General features: G+C 39.4%; 1 long non-coding RNA gene across 10 annotated transcripts in view, besides 1 other annotated feature; it reads right to left on the bottom strand.

Annotated features, from left to right (window-relative positions):
• LOC105375864 (uncharacterized) overlaps window positions 1-18003 on the bottom strand; it is a 79123-nt gene that overhangs the window by 41404 nt on the left and 19716 nt on the right. For 5 of the 10 annotated variants that reach the window (XR_007060920.1, XR_007060921.1, XR_007060919.1 and 2 more), the window contains one exon: window positions 6571-6635. This is a non-coding gene — a long non-coding RNA (uncharacterized LOC105375864). Of the gene's footprint in view, window positions 1-6570; window positions 6636-10832; window positions 10998-12211; window positions 12811-18003 lie in introns of those variants that run through there. The other 5 variants (XR_001745925.1, XR_928936.2, XR_928940.2 and 2 more) reach the window with 4 other exon arrangements.
• Window positions 3788-4496: a transcriptional cis regulatory region, noted in NCBI's record as "candidate enhancer chr8.1769 targeted for multiplex CRISPR interference". NCBI's record gives its function as "positively regulates CA8 gene expression with high confidence in K562 cells {active_cell/tissue: K562}" and the evidence as "EXISTENCE:mutant phenotype evidence [ECO:0000015][PMID:30612741]".

Genomic DNA, 18003 nt, shown 5'->3' on the forward strand with positions numbered 1-18003 from the left:
GAGGCTGCAGTGAGCCGAGTTCGCACCACTGCACTCCAGCCTGGATGACAGAGCGAGACTTCATCTCAAAAAAAAAAAGACAGTTATGAGCTTATGATGTGTTCAACGGTTTGTAATTATGCACAAAATCTTTTAAAGACGAGAGTCAAAGAACTACAATGGCTCCAAAAGTGTGAAGGAGAAGGCTCACAAAAATGGGCTAAGACAGAGAGAGATGCAAGTAGAAAAGCCTATGCAAGGCTGGAGGGATGATTTTGTCAAATGGTTTAGGAGAGGAGAAAGCAACAGCAATACCTGGCATTTTATTATCATCAGAGACAGGAAAGAGTGAATGTTTCCTTTCCCAAGTGGCCCTAATTTCAGGTAAGTAAGTAGAACAAAATAAATTCACATGGCTGGCTCTCACTGCATGTCAACTTCATTGTTCTGGTATTAGAAAATGTAAGATCAGACTAAGAAGGTCTTAATGAGGTCTTAAGAAAAGTAAGGCTGTGGGGCTTTCCTTCCAGAATTCAAACTATGTGTTTGGGTATGGAAAATCCCCACTCTGGATTTCTGTCTTGTCACTAGAGTGAAGATGCCTGGCCCTTTGGTTTCTAAGAAGGTTCTGAAGATAGGGTGATGTAGCTGGGAAAATGGTAAACAAACATTAGGAAAAAATCACTGCCTGAAGTTAAAATGAACCAAATTTTAACCTAAAAAAAAAAAGTCACCTATTTTATTTACATGAAAAGGCCTATTTCAGATAAAAGTAACAGCCTTTTCCCTCAGTTTGTGTTATTCATGTTGTTTAATTTTTGGTTTGCACATCTGAGGGGTTCTAAGATTTCATTTCATTTTGTATAAACAGTTTCCAAACTTGGGTAACATGGTTTCACTGTGGTGGAAAAGATGGAGCTCCCCACACACACACCATTCATTTGAAGTATTCCCAAGTTCCACTTTCCTCTGCAGAGCAGCTATTTAATTTGTGCAGCGGTGTTTGGACTAAAACATTTTGCCAACACTCTTACCAAATACTGACAGTTTCATTACAAATTACAAAATTAGAAGGTCACAGGTATAGACTTTACACATTTCCAACTTACCTAGTTTAGCATATGATAGTTTTCAGTTTGCTTCAGTTCTTTATTTTTATAGGTTGAGAAATAGAAACATACATTGGATTATAAGGTGCCTTCCAGTGATCCCTTTGTTAAGGGAAAAGTTACAATATTGGAAATAGATCCTGTGTTCATTTGTGTATCTTTCTTTAATCATGCATTGTGGTTTTTGCTGACCTAAGAGAGGGCACATGCCTACAAAAGTTCCATCTCCACTACGTAAACAGTCGGGTAGTCTTCCAGGGCATTCCTTAAGTCATTAATGACATTGCCTGAACTGAACTGAAGTTATATAATAATATTGGACAACAATATTATTATTTCATTTCTAAAAGCACTTAGCAGATTGGAAATATTTATTAATAATTATGGTTTGACCCAAATGAAATATAATTACTAATTTAAACATACAAAATGTAGAGGGATAAAGTGACAACAAATATGGGTTAAATGCATTCCATGACAGTGGCTCTTGAGATACTCCTAGAACAACCGCCCCTTCCAGAGTTCACAGTGCAGACAGGGGGATGGCCATTAAGCCCCCAGTGGCAGAGATCTGTGTTAAATGTGTCATCCAGGGACCCAATAAGCCAGGCACAGAAAAACAAGTTCTGTATGATCTCACTTATGTGTGGAATCTAAAAATATGAGTTCACAGAAGCAGAGAGTAGAAGGGTGGTTACCAGGGGCTGGAGGTAGGGAAAATAAGGAGACGTTGGCCAAGGGGCACAAAATTTCAGTTACAAAATGAATAAATTCTGGAGATCTAATGTACAGCATGGTGACTATAGTTAATAATTACGTTTTGTATACTTGAAATTTGCTACGAGAGTAGATCTAAAATGTTCTCACCACACACACACACAAAGATGGTGATGGCTATGTTCATTAGCTTGATTGTGATAACCATTTCATAATGTATACATATATCAAAACATCACATTATACCTCTTACATATATGCAATTTTTATTGTGAAAAAAATAATTAAAAAATGAAGTTTGTGAGGAAGAGGAAAAAAGTGTTGTAATGCAAGAAGCACAGGCATGCACAGGCTGTGTGCATAGTGATGGGGAAAACGACTCTTAACAGAGAGCTGGAAGAAAGGGAAGGGGGTTCCTGCCTTCACTTGTGATCTGGAGAAGGATTCATGTGTATTACATAGATGTTGGTAACACAACTGAATGTGGTAAGTTCTGTGTGCTTTGATCACAGTTGTGAGAATCAAAGAAAGTTTCTTCTAGGCAGTGATAATTTGAACCAGACCTTAAGAATGGGCAGGATTTCCAGTAGACCACAGACTCAGATGCAATAAAAAACAAGGAGTGCTTAGGGCACAGCAGGTAGCACTGTTAGAGAGCAGAGCGCCTGCTGAGCAATGCAGCTGCCAGGGCAGGTGTACTTGATTTTCAGTAGGTATCAGTATTAAAGCCAAGGTACAAGTTCCTCATATGGCTTAGCTGTTTTAACCCATTAATTCAATATGAGAAAACCATATTATTTTGCTTCCAAAAATCTCTAAAATCAAAGGTCTCCCAAAGGCACAATTAGTATTTGGAAAATGCCAGAAGCAACTCCTGTTCTCTTTAATGTTCCACTTGCCATTGGATGATGTACCAGGCATTCAAAGAGTTCAGTTGTTCTCTTCTGGTTGCCTGGGGTAAAAGAATGTAGGCACCTCTTCTGCCATTTGCTTACAACATTACAAGATGATTATTTTCTATTATAGAAGACAGAGAAGGCCACACACCTCAAGGTGTCTTTATAAGATGTTGTCTCTCTGAGGCAATGATATAGGGACTTTTCTGGCTGCAGGTCATTTTAATAAAGTTTAAAATACAAGGCAGGGTGACGTTTTACAAACCTTAAAACCCCAAAGTAGCTTTGTTCCAAATAAGCGGGCTTTATCTGAATGCCAAAACTCCAGATAATCCCCTAACTGGTTCAAGGATTGCTTTTCCCAGTTGAAATTACTCTGTTGCCAATAATAGACTTAACAAAAGTTAAACTTTTAAATATTCATCATCTTGGCAGGTTGCAGACGTTACAAATGTACATTCTTATGTTTTCTCAATTACGGTATTGGTCTTTCATATGGCTTCTGTATAAGACCACTTTATTTTTTTTCTCTCAAACATACTGGTCTTTTTGAAATATGTACATCCTATAAGACTTCAACACATTTATATGAGATACTGTGAATTGATAAAGGTCATATTAATGCTTTCCTACAATAATTGAATACATTTTTTTTTTAAAGCTGGGGGAAGTGGGGTTTTAAAAAAAGCTGACTTCTCGCCATTGGCACTTTGTGTGAGCCCATTACACTTTGCTTTCTTATAAGAGATTTCTGTAATGCTTTTTGAGTGCTATTAAAACTGACCTCTTCAATAAATGTCAACTTACTGTCTAAAGGCAACCAAAAGAATTTTAAGTCAAATTATATTTCTACTAAAACTGAGTTTGCTTAGCTTGACTACTGGAACGTTTTCTTTAAGAATTCTAAGTATTGTGGTAATATTGCAAAGTGAATACTCTCAGATTTTTCAAGAAGCTGTTCTAAGACTGAATCTGTGGCCTCATGTTGTAAATCAGGGAGTAAGTCCCCCTTGTGGGGTCTTTAAGGATCTCTCCAACTCTGGAGATCTCTCCGGTCTCCGACTTGGGAAATTACACTCGGGTAACATGTGAAATAAAAAGATTTCTTCTACTCATAGGTCATAGAGAAGGACACAGGCCACACCACGCCATGCAGGAGGCCATGTGGAAGAAGCACTAAGCCAGCGCTCCATGAAGCAGGTGGGGGCACAAGAGAGTGAGCCCCAATGAGCGAATGCCTTTACTGGGGGTCCCAGTGGAGTACACAAGCAAGAGGCATGAGGGAGTGTTGTTGGTGCTTTTAAATGTCACTAGTTCACAGTCAGAGGAGAAAAAGAAGAGGAACTTGTGGCTGAACCAACCTTATCATACTAGTGCACCTGGGCCCTGGGTGGGGTGCTCATGGCCTGTGTGATGTTGAGGCATGGGGAAAATATGAAGTTTTTAAAATTTACAGTACAGGCCTCTTTGGTATAGACTGAAGCCAGCAGCAGGGCAGGGGTGGGGAAGAAGTGGACCAGGACAGGGAGATGCACCCTGGAGAAGATGGGAGCTCTCACAGTGTTCTCTGAAGCTGGCAGTTTAGATGGTAGCAGCTAGATGGGCTTGGTGAGTGGTGGTCCGGGTTGTGGGGCCCCATGCATAGCCTCCACGGCCACTGTATTCATGGGCTCATGGAGTCAGCTCTAGAAGTGGTGAAGGGTAGGGGTGGGCTGATGTCAATAGGCCAGGTCATTCTGTCTGCTCAGTCATTCAGTGCCTCTTCCGTGGACACTCTTGTGAGTGTTAACATGGCATAAAAATCTTCACTTTCAGGCCCACTCCTTCTATCCATCCACATGCATCTATGATCTTCCAGTACTTCCCATGATTGTCATTATTTTCTAACTGTGGGCTGCATCTTCCTTCATTATAAAGTGAGTGACCAAGTTTGCTGCCTGAACCTCTGCCCATTAAGAGGATTTCCTCTCGCCACACTCTGCAAGCCACCTTTGAATGAGGCTGCAGCCCTCATGTACTTTCCATCTGCACCCACAGAGCAAGCCCACCTGCTATAAAGCAAATATGGGCTTTTCCTTCCTCCTGTAGGATCCCCTATGTAGCTGGCATCATACACAAAAGGAGGGCTGTGCTGCGGGTGGCTTGGGGTCTGGGTAGACCATCTGTTGGCTTGTGTCTACTAGTGCTGCTCTTATTCAATCCTGGATGTACTCCTTTAAACCAAATTAAAGATAAAAACACATGAAACAGGCTAGGCATGGTGGAGCATACCTGTAGTTCACACTACTCATAAGGCTGAGGTGGGAGGATTGCTTGCGTCCAATAGTGTGAGACTGCAGTGTGCACAATCATGCCCGTGAATAGCCTCTGCACTCCAACCTGGGCAACATAGCAAGACTCCATCTCTAAAACACACACGTGCACACACACACACGCACACACATAACAAAATGCTCCCAAGTTTTTATTAGACCCAAATGTTTGCTGTTTATTACCAAAAAGATAAGATTTTCTTTTTAATAAAAAGAAAAATGGCTGGGTGCAGTGGCTCACGCCTGTAATCCAAGCACTTTGGGAGGCTGAGGCGGGGCAGGTGAATCACTTGAGGTCAGGAGTTCAAGACCAGCCTGGCCAACATGGTGAAACCCTGTCTCTGCTAAAAAAAAAAAAAAAAAAAAAAATTAGCTGGGCATGCTGGCAGGTGCCTGTAATCCCAGCTACTCAGGAGGCTGAGGCAGGAGAATCACTTGATCACTTGAACCAGGGAGGTGGAGGTTGCAGTAAGCCGGGATTGTGTCACTCCATTCCAGCCTGGGCAACAGAACAGGACTCCATTAAAAAAAATTAAGAAAGAAAAAGAAAGAAAGAAAGAAAGACAGACACATAAAATAAAAGATACATCCAATGAAATTAGGGTAGAAAAGCTCCTGTTTATTGCATACAATCTCTTTTTTTTTTTTTTTTTTTGAGATGGAGTCTTGCTCTGTTGCCCAGGTTGGAGTGCAATAGTGCCATCTCGGCTCACTACAACTTCCACCTCCCAGGTTCAAGTGATTCTCCTGCCTCAGCCTCCCGAGTAGCTGGGATTACGGGTGCCCACCATCACGCCCAGCTAATTTTTGTATTTTTAGTAGAGACAGGGTTTTGCCATGTTGGCCAGGCTGGTCTCGAACTCCTGACTTCATAATCCATCCGCCTCAGATTCCCAAAGTGCTGGGATTACAGGCGTGAACTACTATGCCCAGCCTATTGCATACAATCTCTTTCATCTTTCCTTGCCTCTTACAAGTAGATATTCGTACCTATAAAGAAATCTGAATTCTAATAGAACAGTAAGTGCTGGAGTGTACATGGAGGAACTGATACATTAATCTTGTTGATCACTTCTAAAATCCTGTGTGCTTCACTACTGACTAGGAACAGTAGCCAATTAAATTTAAGCACATATATTTGTTTCTATTTCAAAAAGAAAACAATGAGCTATGGAAACATTTCCAGTATAATCAAGCATAAATTTGCCGAAATAAACCATGTAGAATTTTTTTTAACAATGCAAAAACAGAGTCAGTGATTTCATAGTAATCAAATCTTTACAGCTTCTAAATTCTGCTCCTGCAATTGTAGGAGAGTGGATGAAGTATACAGAACTATAAATCAAAAGGGAATGAATCTTCCACAAACCACCTGGCTGTTCACATTGACAATTTGATTAATTGACAATACCTTTGGCCAAATAAAAACAATGGAATTGTAGAGAGACATATTCTTCTAGTCTTGATTCTGATGTTTCCCACATGCCTCTTACCACCAAAGTAACTACACATCTCTACAAGCATATATATACATACAACTATGGCACAGAAACTCACATTGGAAATGAATAACTTTTCTGTTAAGGGTGTCCTCTTTCTTGTGCTCCTTCTTCTAAATATTCCTAGAAGAGGTAACATACATTATTATCATCTCATGAAAATTTGTTTATCAGATCCTTATTTTCTGTGACCCAGGTTGTGAGAGAGGAAGTGGGAACAACAGAAAGTGAAGCAAGTGTCCAAGAAGAGGAAGTAGTGGCCTCAAAGACAAACAGCCTACTGCCTTTTCCATCCCTGACAACCAGATTTGAATTGCTCACTAATGCATAAGTGAATGCATAAATTGCTTGCTTTAGCATAAGCACAATCCCCAAAGTGAATTTTATTTGTTGCCACCACTAGCTACTCAGAAGGCAAGAAAGCACCCAATTCTTGTCTTTGTGACAAATTTGGGTATGCATAAACTAAGAATGCCTACAATAAAAGTTTCCCTGATGAAAAGGAAGAATGTTATTACTCTCTGCTATCTGAGTTTTTCAGGCCCCAAAAAAGAAATTTTGATCTGACATATAAACCATATGTAATTCTTTCCTGGATCTAATGCAATTCACATGAACACCATGGAAGAAGCAGTTGAGTGGGCCTGGCTGATAGATGTAAGCAACACATATCCCCTCCTATGAATTGATTCTTAATTTCTCTCTAAGCAGGAAGACTGATATGGTGGTGGTTGTTTTTCTTTAGGCATAATGGTTAAAAGTTAATCAATGGTATCAGTTACTGATGACACATGGTTATCTTTCCAAGAGATGAAAATAAATAGATGAAAACAGACATCTGCAGCTGCAGATACAGACTAGTTGTACTAAACGATTCTATTTCATCACTAAGGAGGATGTGCCCAATGGAGCTGTACCCTGCAGCAAACATTTCTGCAAGAGTTACTTTTTAATAAGTGCTCCAAGCTCCAGATTGACTATTGTTTGGGAATTTGGCTAGTTAATGGAGAGGTGGCAGGTTCTGATTTAAAAATAAGGTGTTCAAAAGTCATTATCCCATTACAGCAGGCATTCCAGGCAAGTTTAAGTACACACCCTATGTCAGGATGATCTGGAACTTTTTGTGGGAAGAAATGGGTCCCTTATGACAGCTGCCCACTGAGCTCTCCCACCCCAAATCTGGTTCTAATTTGCCTTTATATTTCTGCCATCAACATTTAAAAGTTTTAAGAGGTAGTGATTTCTCTTCTAAAACACTGTCCTCGAAGTATATTTCTTTGGGCCTCACACTGCCTGTCCACCATACCACTAATGTTTGCTGACATACAGGAAATTCAGTTCAAGAGTAAAAGATTTTTGGATGCTAACCAATATTTATACTGCAACTGGGTGTAAGTTTTTCAAAGGCCTCAGGAGTATGCATATTGTTGACCTACCAATTTTATTTCTAATAATTTTTCCAAAGAAAACAACAGAGAAAATTTGTTCAAGGATTTTGCTATAAAAATTCTTATGGTAAAGTTGTATAATGTCAAAAAAAAGCAAACAACCTAAATATGCAACTATATGAAATTCCTAAATAATTTGTGATTAGCCCATACAGTAGAATATTTTGCTGTCACTTAAATAGTATTAGCTAAATCTTTAAAAATGGAAAAATATTTATAGTATAATATTAAGTTTAAAAAGAGCTTAGAATGCAACATTATGTTACTATATAAATCACAGGGGAGAAAACATTGAAAGGACACACCCAAATGCTAAGAGGGATTACACATGAGTGATGGAACTGACAAATACCTTTTATAATCTCCTTGTTTTTCTGTATTTCTCAGGAATAGTTTATACTGAATATGAATTAATTTTGTATTTAGAAAAAAGTAATTTCTAAAACATGAAGTAAATTGGGGAGTGCAGATGTTAGTTGCTGGAAGCTCAGAGCTCCAGGAAAGCAAAGGCTTGCAAATTAAGGTGTCTATGCCAGACTTAGTAAACTGTTAGGTGGAAATGTGTGCTGTTGCTGTTTGTGCTTTTAACAAAATGTAATTCTTCAACTACCTTAAGTGATTGCAAACAGACATGTCTTTTTAGGAAGTTGTGGATGATGAGTATTTAATGATGCTGATGAGTTGAAGTGAAGAGCATTGATGTCATAGAAGTAGGGAGTAGAGTGGTGGTTACCAGAGGATGCAGAGGGAAGGGGGTAATGGTGAGATTGGTCAAGGGGTGCAAGGCTCCAGTTAGATAGAAAGAGTAAGTTCTGGTGGTCTATTGCACAGTATTATGACTAGAGTTTGCAGTAATATATTGTATGTCCTCATCACAAATAAATTTATCAATGTTTAGGGTGATCAGTATGCTAATTACCCTGATTTGATCATTACACAATTTACACATGTATTGAAACATCGCACTGTAATCCATAAATATATACAATGATCACGTGTGACATGGTTTGGCTGTGTCCCCAACCAAATCTCATCTTGAATTATAGTTCCCATAATCCCTACATGTCATGGGAGGGACCTGGTGGAGATAATTGAATCATGAGGGTGGTTTCCCCCCTCATCCTGTTCTGGTGACAGTGAGTTAGTTCTCGTGAGATCTGATGGTTTTATAAGAGGCTTTCCCCACCTCTCGCTCCGCACTTCTCCTTGCTGCTGCCATCTAAAGAAGGATGTGTTTGCTTCCCCTTCCATGAGGATTGTAAGTTTTCTGAGGCCTCCCCAACCCTGTGGAAATGTGAGTAAATTAAACTTCTTTCCTTTATAAATTACCTAATCTTGGGTATGTCCTTATTAGCAGTGTGAGAATGGACTAATATAGTAAATTAGTCCGTGGGGTTGTACCTAGCAAAGCCAAGGCGGAGCTGCCCAAGGCCATGGGAGCCTACCTTTTGCATCAGCACGCCCTAGATATGAGACATGGAGTCAAAGGAGATCATTTTGGAACTTTAAGGTTTAATAACTACCCTATTGGATTTCGGACTTGCAAGGAGCCTGTAGCCCCACTGTTTTGGCCAATTTCTCTTATTTAGAATGGGTATATTTACCCAATACCTATACCTCCATTGTATCTGGAAACTAACTAACTTGCTTTTGATTTTACAGCCTTATAAGTAGAAGGAATTTGCCTTGTGTTAGATGAGACTTTGGACTTGGACTTTTGGCTTAGCACTGGAATGAGTTGACCTTGGGGGATGGTTGGAAGGGCATGATGGTATTTTGAATTGTGAGGACGTGAGATTTGGGAGGGACCAGGGGGAGAATTATATTGTTTGGCTATGTCCCCACCCAAATCTCATCTTGAATTATAGTTCCCATAATCCCCACATGTTGCACGAGGGACCCAATGCACATAATTGAATGATGGGGGTGGTTTCCTCCATCCTGTTCTCATGGTAGCGAGTTAGTTCTCATGGGATCTGATGGTTTTATAAGGGGCCTTTCCCCACCCATCACTCTGCACTTCTCCTTGCTGCCACCATGTGAGGAAAGACATGTTTGATTCCCCTTCCAGCATGATTGTAAGTTTCCTGAGGCCTTCTCAGCCCTGCGGAACTGTGAGTCAATTAAACCTCTTTCCTTTATAAATTATCCAGTCTCTGGTATGTCTTCATTAGCAGCGTGAGAATGGACTAATACAATGTGCCCATCATAAATCTTAAAAATGTTGGCCAAAGATAAAATGTAGACAATAACACTAGGTTTGAAGGTGCTGTGCTCAGAATTACTGGGGATAAGAACAAAGGTTGACAATTCCTTTGACCCCATATGAGGACTGACTTTTCCTCTGCCCCCACCACCGTACTGCCCACACTTCCAGCTGCTCTAGGCACACACACCCTGTCGACCAGGATGAGTAGACAACACACAGCTGAGAAGTCCCAATGCCCAAGACTAGGCTGTTTTGTCAAGCCATCTCCAATTCCTATGCACCAGTGGTGGTGGCCAGGAAATGAGAACTTTCAAACTCAAAGTGGAAGAGGCCGGGCGCGGTGGCTCACGCCTGTAATCCCAGCACTTTGGGAGGCCAAGGCGGGCGGATCACGAGGTCAGGAGATCAAGACCATCCTGGCTAACACGGTGAAACCCCGTCTCTACTAAAAATACAAAAAATTAGCTGGGCGCGGTGGCGGGCACCTGTAGTCCCAGCTACTCAGGAGGCTGAGGCAGGAGAATGGCGTAAACCCGGGCGGCGGAGCTTGCGGTGAGCCAAGATCGCGCTGCTGCACTCCAGCCTGGGCGACAGAGCAAGACTCCATCTCAAAAAAAAAAAAAAAAAAAAAAAAAAACTCAAAGTGGAAGAAATGTTACTCACAATTTGAATGGCTGAAATGAAAATATCAACAACAGGAGAGCACGGCAAGGAGCAAAGGGACAATTGTAAGCAGCAGAGGATTGAGGTCCTTAAGTTGAGCTGAAATGGGGTCCACTTAGATTCAGAAAGCCTTCAGGCATGTGACCCAGGTCTCAGCTTCCTCATCTACGAAGTGGAGATGATGGTTGATTCTCATTATTCATGGTAGTTACACTCTAAAGTGACTGCAAACACTGAATTTGTGAATACTGAGCCAGTGCTTTTATGGGAAATATGGGGTTAGATCCCTGCCAGCCTCTGGTCACATTTCCATCAACTGATCAATACATTTTTGTAATGTGTGTTTCTGTTTAAACACAGCATATTGAATCCCTAACAGAGACATTAAACCCTTACTCAGAAGTAAATAGTGCTATTTCCTCAATAAAATATTGCTGATTAGCTAACATTGAACAGCCACCAGCACTACAACTCCTGCCTGAAGGAAGCTTATCTAACACACCCGTTTTCTCCATAAGGTACCTCACAGCCTCTTGTGTTTAAAACACCAGAAGGCACTGCAGCACTACCCTTCGGGGCCATCTCAAACAGCAAAATCACCAGTATTGAAGTTGGGGTTGCAAATCAATTTTTGCAAATACGTAAATTTGCAAATACCGAAGTGATGAATAGTGAAGATTGACTGTAATAATAATAATACAAGCTGTGGAGATTAATGAAATAATCCATGTCAAACATTTAACAGCATGTGGTACATATATACCAAATATGTACTGAACAAGTAACTGTTTTTGCCAAATATTTGAAGCCACTATTAAGGTGTTAAGTATATAACTATGAATATTACCATATACTGTAAATGGGTACTCTAGAAGGAAGACTACAAAAACAGCCTAATGTTAAAATTACCTGATAAACAGGTACAGTTTCTTTGCCACAACTTTTTAAAAATGACTTTAAAAAAACACTTAAAATGAAGCTACCTATGTGTTTTTCATAGCAAGTTAGTTGAATTAAAATTAAGACCCTCGGGAGATCTGGAAGTAGGTGGGAATGAGGAGCAAATTAATTGTTTTGCAATAAAAACTGCTCCCCAATCCTCCAGTCCCTAACAGAGACAATTAACCCTTACTCAGAAGTAAATAGTGCTACTTCCTCAATATTAACAGGATTCAGTAAAGGATGTTTCAGTGTATTTTTTTTTTTTTTACTTTAACAACCACCTTGTTTGGCATTTATTTTTACTTTGTTGTAATAGTAAACACAAGGGATCCCCTTTATTTAGCATAAAATTTCCTTGCCAGAAAGTAAATATTTGATGTTTATATAAGCAGCTATAAAAACAATTTCCTGAGAGATTTCTCCACAAAAATATTTACCTGCTTGAGCCGATGGATTGAGATGATTTGGAAACCAAACTTCCTTTCCAGTGTGGCTAGGTAGGCATTTCCTTCTAACTTATCCTTCACAACTCACTACAACATTTGAAACCTCTTGTCTTCAGGATTTTGTGTTCAAAACTTCACTGAACTTTTTTTGTTTGTTTAACTTATCTAAAATATTAGTAATAGTCTATCTATAGTATCTATAACATTTCTTTTCATTGTCTCAACTCCAAAACCCACTCCTCCCGCATTTCTGGTTTCTGTGATGGGATCACCATTCTTGTAGTTGCCCAGGCTTGTACCGTTGGGTTCACCTTTTACTTCTTCCTCTTCATTGCTGCATGCCAAACTCATTCAACTTCTTTATCCTGAGGCTACATTACAGCATGCATTCTGTCCATCCCCATCTCTCCATTCCCATTGCCCTTGTCCTAGTTGAAGTTCTCAATTCTTATTGCCAGAGCCAAGGCAATAACTTTGTAATCACCCTTCCATCATCTTCCCCAAACCATCATACCTGTGGCTACCAAATTCATTTTTATAAAGTATTATTTTATTATCACCATGGCATGACACAGCAAGAAGGCCCTCCCCAGATGCTAGCCTCTCAATCTTGGACTTCCCAGCCTCCAGAACTGTGAGCCAATAAATTTATGTTTATTAGAAATTCCTAGTCTCAAATATTCTGTTATAGCAACACAAAATAGACTAAGACAAACTCTCAAATGTGGAGCTCCCTATCTAAATCCTTTCCACATCTCGTTCTTTTCCATGGAACATATTGTCCACCAGGCAACAGTTGGAGTTTCAGTTCTTCAGAATGCACAGGGTCACCTTGCCTTGAAGCACTTCAGATCTCCATATTGTAGTCATATAATGGTTCTCTCTTGGAATGAAGATGATTTTTTTTTGCCACATTGTATACTTACTCATGAGCTCTTTCATCAGAAATGCTGCAGTTTTGTTACTGATGTTTTTAGAGTCAAAACATAATCTTCTATTTTATCTAAAATTTCCCTCTTCTATGGGTAAAAGAAATGTCTTTTTAAAAAGTAAGGGGTATTGTTCTCCAGTCCCGATATAGAAAATGATATCCTAAAGGAAAAAAACGCTGAAAGGTGGTTACTAAGTAAAGGCCTTCAGTTTTTCTTTCCCAGAACACGCTTGAGGTGTATTTGACATCTGTCTAACTCAAATTTCATTCCTTTTGAATGTCTCAGTTCCCATATTCCTTCCACAATGTAGACAAAAATCTCCATTTACCCTGTTGAAGAATCTCATACTAAAATCCTAAATCACGACAAAGCAAGGTTATGAGCATGGCTCAGAGCATGCACTGTGACCTCACAAGGAAAGGTGACTATGGGGGCCTGGATTAGGAAAGATGTCAGGGAGGAGGTGGCATTTGAGTTAGGCCTGAAACAAGCATTAGCAGTGGAGCACCCAGAGTCGCAGTGAAGGAAAATGTAAACAGAAAGGATGTAGCAGGAAAGGAACAAAGTCAAGATTTCTGGATGCAACGACAGAGAGCTACAAGAGTTTGTTTTGGTCTGGCCCATGCTTCATGAAAGAAAATTGTGAGACATTTGTTATAAAGGAGGATTGTAGACTGGCCCATGAGGAATCTCACTGCCAAGCAAAGGAGAGGCAGCACTTTATTCTGTGGGCAATGGGGAGCCAATGAAGGACAAAACAGCCAGCATAAAAAAGAACTTAACAGATCTGACAGAGCTGAATAACACAATGTAAGAATTTCACAATGCAATCACAAGTATTAACAGCAGAACAAACCAAGCTGAGGAAAGAATCTCAGAACTTCAAGACTGGCTCTCTGAAATAAGACAGTCAGACACCGAAGAAGTATGGGATTATGTAAAGAGGACAAATATCAGAATCACTGGCATGCCTGAAAGGGAGGGGGAGGAAGCAAACAACTTGGAAAACATATTTCAGGATATTGTCCATGAAAACTTCCCCAACCTTGATAGAGAGGCCAACAGTCAAATTCAGGAAATGCAGAGAATGCTTGCAAGATTCTACACAAGAAGATCATCCCCAAACACATAATTGTCAGATTTTCCAAGGTCAAAATGAAAGAATGTTAAAGGCAGCTAAAGAGAAAGGGCAGGTCACCTACAAAGGGAACCCCATCAAGCTAACAGTGAACCTCTCAGCTGAAACCCTACAAGCCAAAAGAGATTGGGGGCATATATTCAACATTCTTAAAAAAAAAAAATCTTCAACCAAGAATTTCATATCCAACCAAACTAAGCTTCCTAAGCAAAGGAGAAATAAGATCCTTTTCAGATATACAAATGTCGAGGGAGTTTGTTACCACCAGACCTACCTTACAAGCTATCTTGAAAGAAGCATTAAATATAAAAAGGAAAGACCACTACCAGCTAATACAAAAACACACTTAAACACACAAACCAGTCTCACTATAAAAGAACCACACAAACGAGCCAACATAAATAGCTAACAGCAAAATGACAGGATCAAATCCACATATATCAATACTAATCTTGAAAGTAAATGAGCTAAATGCCCCACTTAAAAGGCACAGACTGGCAACCTGGGTAAAAAAGCAAAATCCAATGGTATACTGTCTTCAGGAGACCCTTCTCACACATAATGACACCCATAGACTCAAAATAAAGGGACGGAGGAAAATCTACCGAGCAAATGAAAAACAGAAAAAAAGCAGGGTTGCAATCCTAACTTCAGACAAAACAGAGTTGATTTTCTGAAAAAAAATTTAATAAGCTAGATAGGCCACTAGCTATACTAATAAAAAAGAAAAGACAGAAGATCCAAATAAACACAATTAGAAATGATGAAGAAAATGCTACCACTGATCCCATAGAAATTAAAAAAAAAAAAAAACAACCATCAGAAACCACTATGAACACTTCTATGCACACAAACTAGAAAATCTAGAAGAGATGGATACTTGGACACATACACTCTCCCAAGACTGAACCAGGAAGAAATTGATTCCCTGAACAGACCAATAATGAGCTCTGAAACTGAATGAGTAATAGATGACAGCCCTGAAACCAATAAAATCTCAAGACCTGATGGAATCACAGCCAAATCCAATCAGATGTATAAAGAAGAGCTGGTACCATTCCTGCTGAAACTATTCCAAAAAAACTGAACAGGAGGGACTTCTCCCCAGCTAGTTCTATGAGGCCAGCATCATCCTGATACCAAAACCTGGCAGAGAACAACAAAAAAAGAAAACTTCAGGCCAATGTCTTTGGTGAACACTGATGCAAAATCCTCAACAAAATACTTGCAAACTGAATCAGCAGCACATCAAAAAGCCAATCCACCACAATCAAGTCGGCTTCGTCACCGGGATGCAAGATTGGTTCAACACATGCAAATCAGTAAATGTGATTCATCACATAAACAGAAATAAAGATAAAAACTAATGAGTATCTTAATAGAAGCAGAAAAGGCTTTTGATAAAATTCAACACCACTTCATGTTAAAAACTCTGAATAAACTAAGTATTGAAGGAACGTGTCTCTAAATAGTAAGAGCCATCTATGACAAACCTACAGCCAACATTATATTGAATGGGCAAAAGCTGGAAGCATTCACCTTAAAAACTGGCACAAGTTTGGGAGGCTGAGGCGGGCGGATCACCTGAGGTCAGGATTTCAAGACCAGCCTGGCCAACATGGCAAAAGCATGTCTCTACTAAAAATACAAAAATTAGCTGGGCATGGTGGCACTGTAATCCCAGCTACTTAGGAAGCTGAGGCAGGAGAATCACTTGAACCCTGGAGGTGGAGGTTGCAGCAAGCCGAGATCATGCCATTGCACTCCAGCCTGGGCAACAAGAGTGAAATTCTGTCTCAGAAACAAAAAACAAAATGAAACAAAAAACTGGCACAAGAAAAGGGTAACCTCTCTCACCATTCCTATTCAAGAGAGTATTAAAAGTCCTAGCCAGAGCAATCAGGCAAGAGAAAGAAATAAAGGGCATCCCAATAGGAAGAGTGGAAGTCAAACTATCTCTATTTGCAGAGATGATTCTATATCTAGAAAACTCCACAGTCTTGGCCCAAAAGCTCCCTCAGCTAATAAACTTTAGCAAAGTTTCAGGATACAAAATCAATGTACGAAAATCACTATCATTCCTATATACCAACAACAGCTAAGCTGAGAGCCAAATCAAAAAGGCAATTATATTCACAATTGCCACAAAAAGAATAAAACACCTAGGAATACAACTAATCTGGGACAAAATACCTAGGAATAAAATACCTAGGAATAAAATACCTAGGAATACAACTAACTGCTGAAAGAAATCAGAGAAGACACAAACAAATGGGAAAAGCACCCCATGCTCATGGATAGGAAGAATCAATATTAACATGGCCATATTGCCCAAAACAATTTACAGATTCAATGCTATTCCTATCAAACTACCAATAACATTATTTACAGAACTAGAAAACACTATTTTAAAACGTATATAAAACCAAAAAAGAGCCTGAATAACTAAGGCAATCCTATACAAAAAGAACAAAGCTGGAAACATCATGTCACCTGACTTCAAACTATACAACAGGGCTACAGTAACTAAAACAGCATGGTACAGATACAAAAATAGGCAGATAGACCAATGGAGCAGAATAGAAAGGCCATAAATAAGGCTGCACACCTACAACCATCTGATCTTTTACAAAGCTGACAAAAGCAAGCAATGGGGAAAAGACTCCCTATTCAATAAAAGGTGCTGAGATAACTGGCTAACAATATGGAGAAGATTGATGCTGGACCCCTTACTTACACCATATGCAAAAATCAACTCAAGATGAATTAAAGACTTAAATGTAAAACCCAAAACTATAAAAACCCTGGAAAGAACCTAGGCAGTAACATCCTGGACATAGGAACAGGCAAAGACTTCATGACAAAGACACCAAAAGAAATTGCAACAAAAGCAAAAATTGACAAGTGTAATTGAATTAAACTTAAAAGCTTCTGCATAGCAAAATAAACTATCAACAGAGTAAACAGACAAGCTACAGAATGGAAAAAAATATTTGCAAACTATGCATCTGACAAAGGCCTAATATCAAGCATCTATGAAGTATGTAAACAGATTTACAAGAGAAAAACAAACAACCCCATTAAAAAGTGGCCAAAGCACATGAATAGACACTTTTCAAAAAAAGACATACATGTGACCAACAAGCATATGAAAAAAGCTCAATATCACCAATCATTAGAGAAATGCAAATCAAAACCACAATGAGATACCATCCTACACCAGTCAGAATGACTATCATGAAAGAGTCAAAAAATAATAGATACTGGCAAGGTTGCAGAGAAAAGCGAACACTTATACACTGGTTGGTGGGAGTGTAAATTACTTCAACCATTGTGGAAAGCAGTATGGCAATTCCTCAAAGAGCTAAAAGCAGAGCTACCATTCAATCCAGCAATCTCATTACTGGGCATACACCCAGAGGAATATAAATCATTCTACCATAAAGACCTATGCACGTGAATATTCATTGCAGCACTGCTCACAATAGCAAAGACATGGAATTAACCTAAATGCCCATTAATGACATATTAGATAAAGAAAATGTGGTATATATACACCATGGAATACTACACAACCATAAAAAAGAACGAGATCATGTCTTTTGTGGCAACATGAATGAAGCTGGAGGGTATTATCCTTAGCAAACTAATGCAAGAACGGAAAACCAATACTGCATGTTCTCACTTATAAATGGAAGCTAAATGATGAGAAC

The sequence above is a fragment of the Homo sapiens genome, chromosome 8 (genome assembly GCF_000001405.40).
Source record: "Homo sapiens chromosome 8, GRCh38.p14 Primary Assembly".
Taxonomy (NCBI): domain Eukaryota; kingdom Metazoa; phylum Chordata; class Mammalia; order Primates; family Hominidae; genus Homo; species Homo sapiens.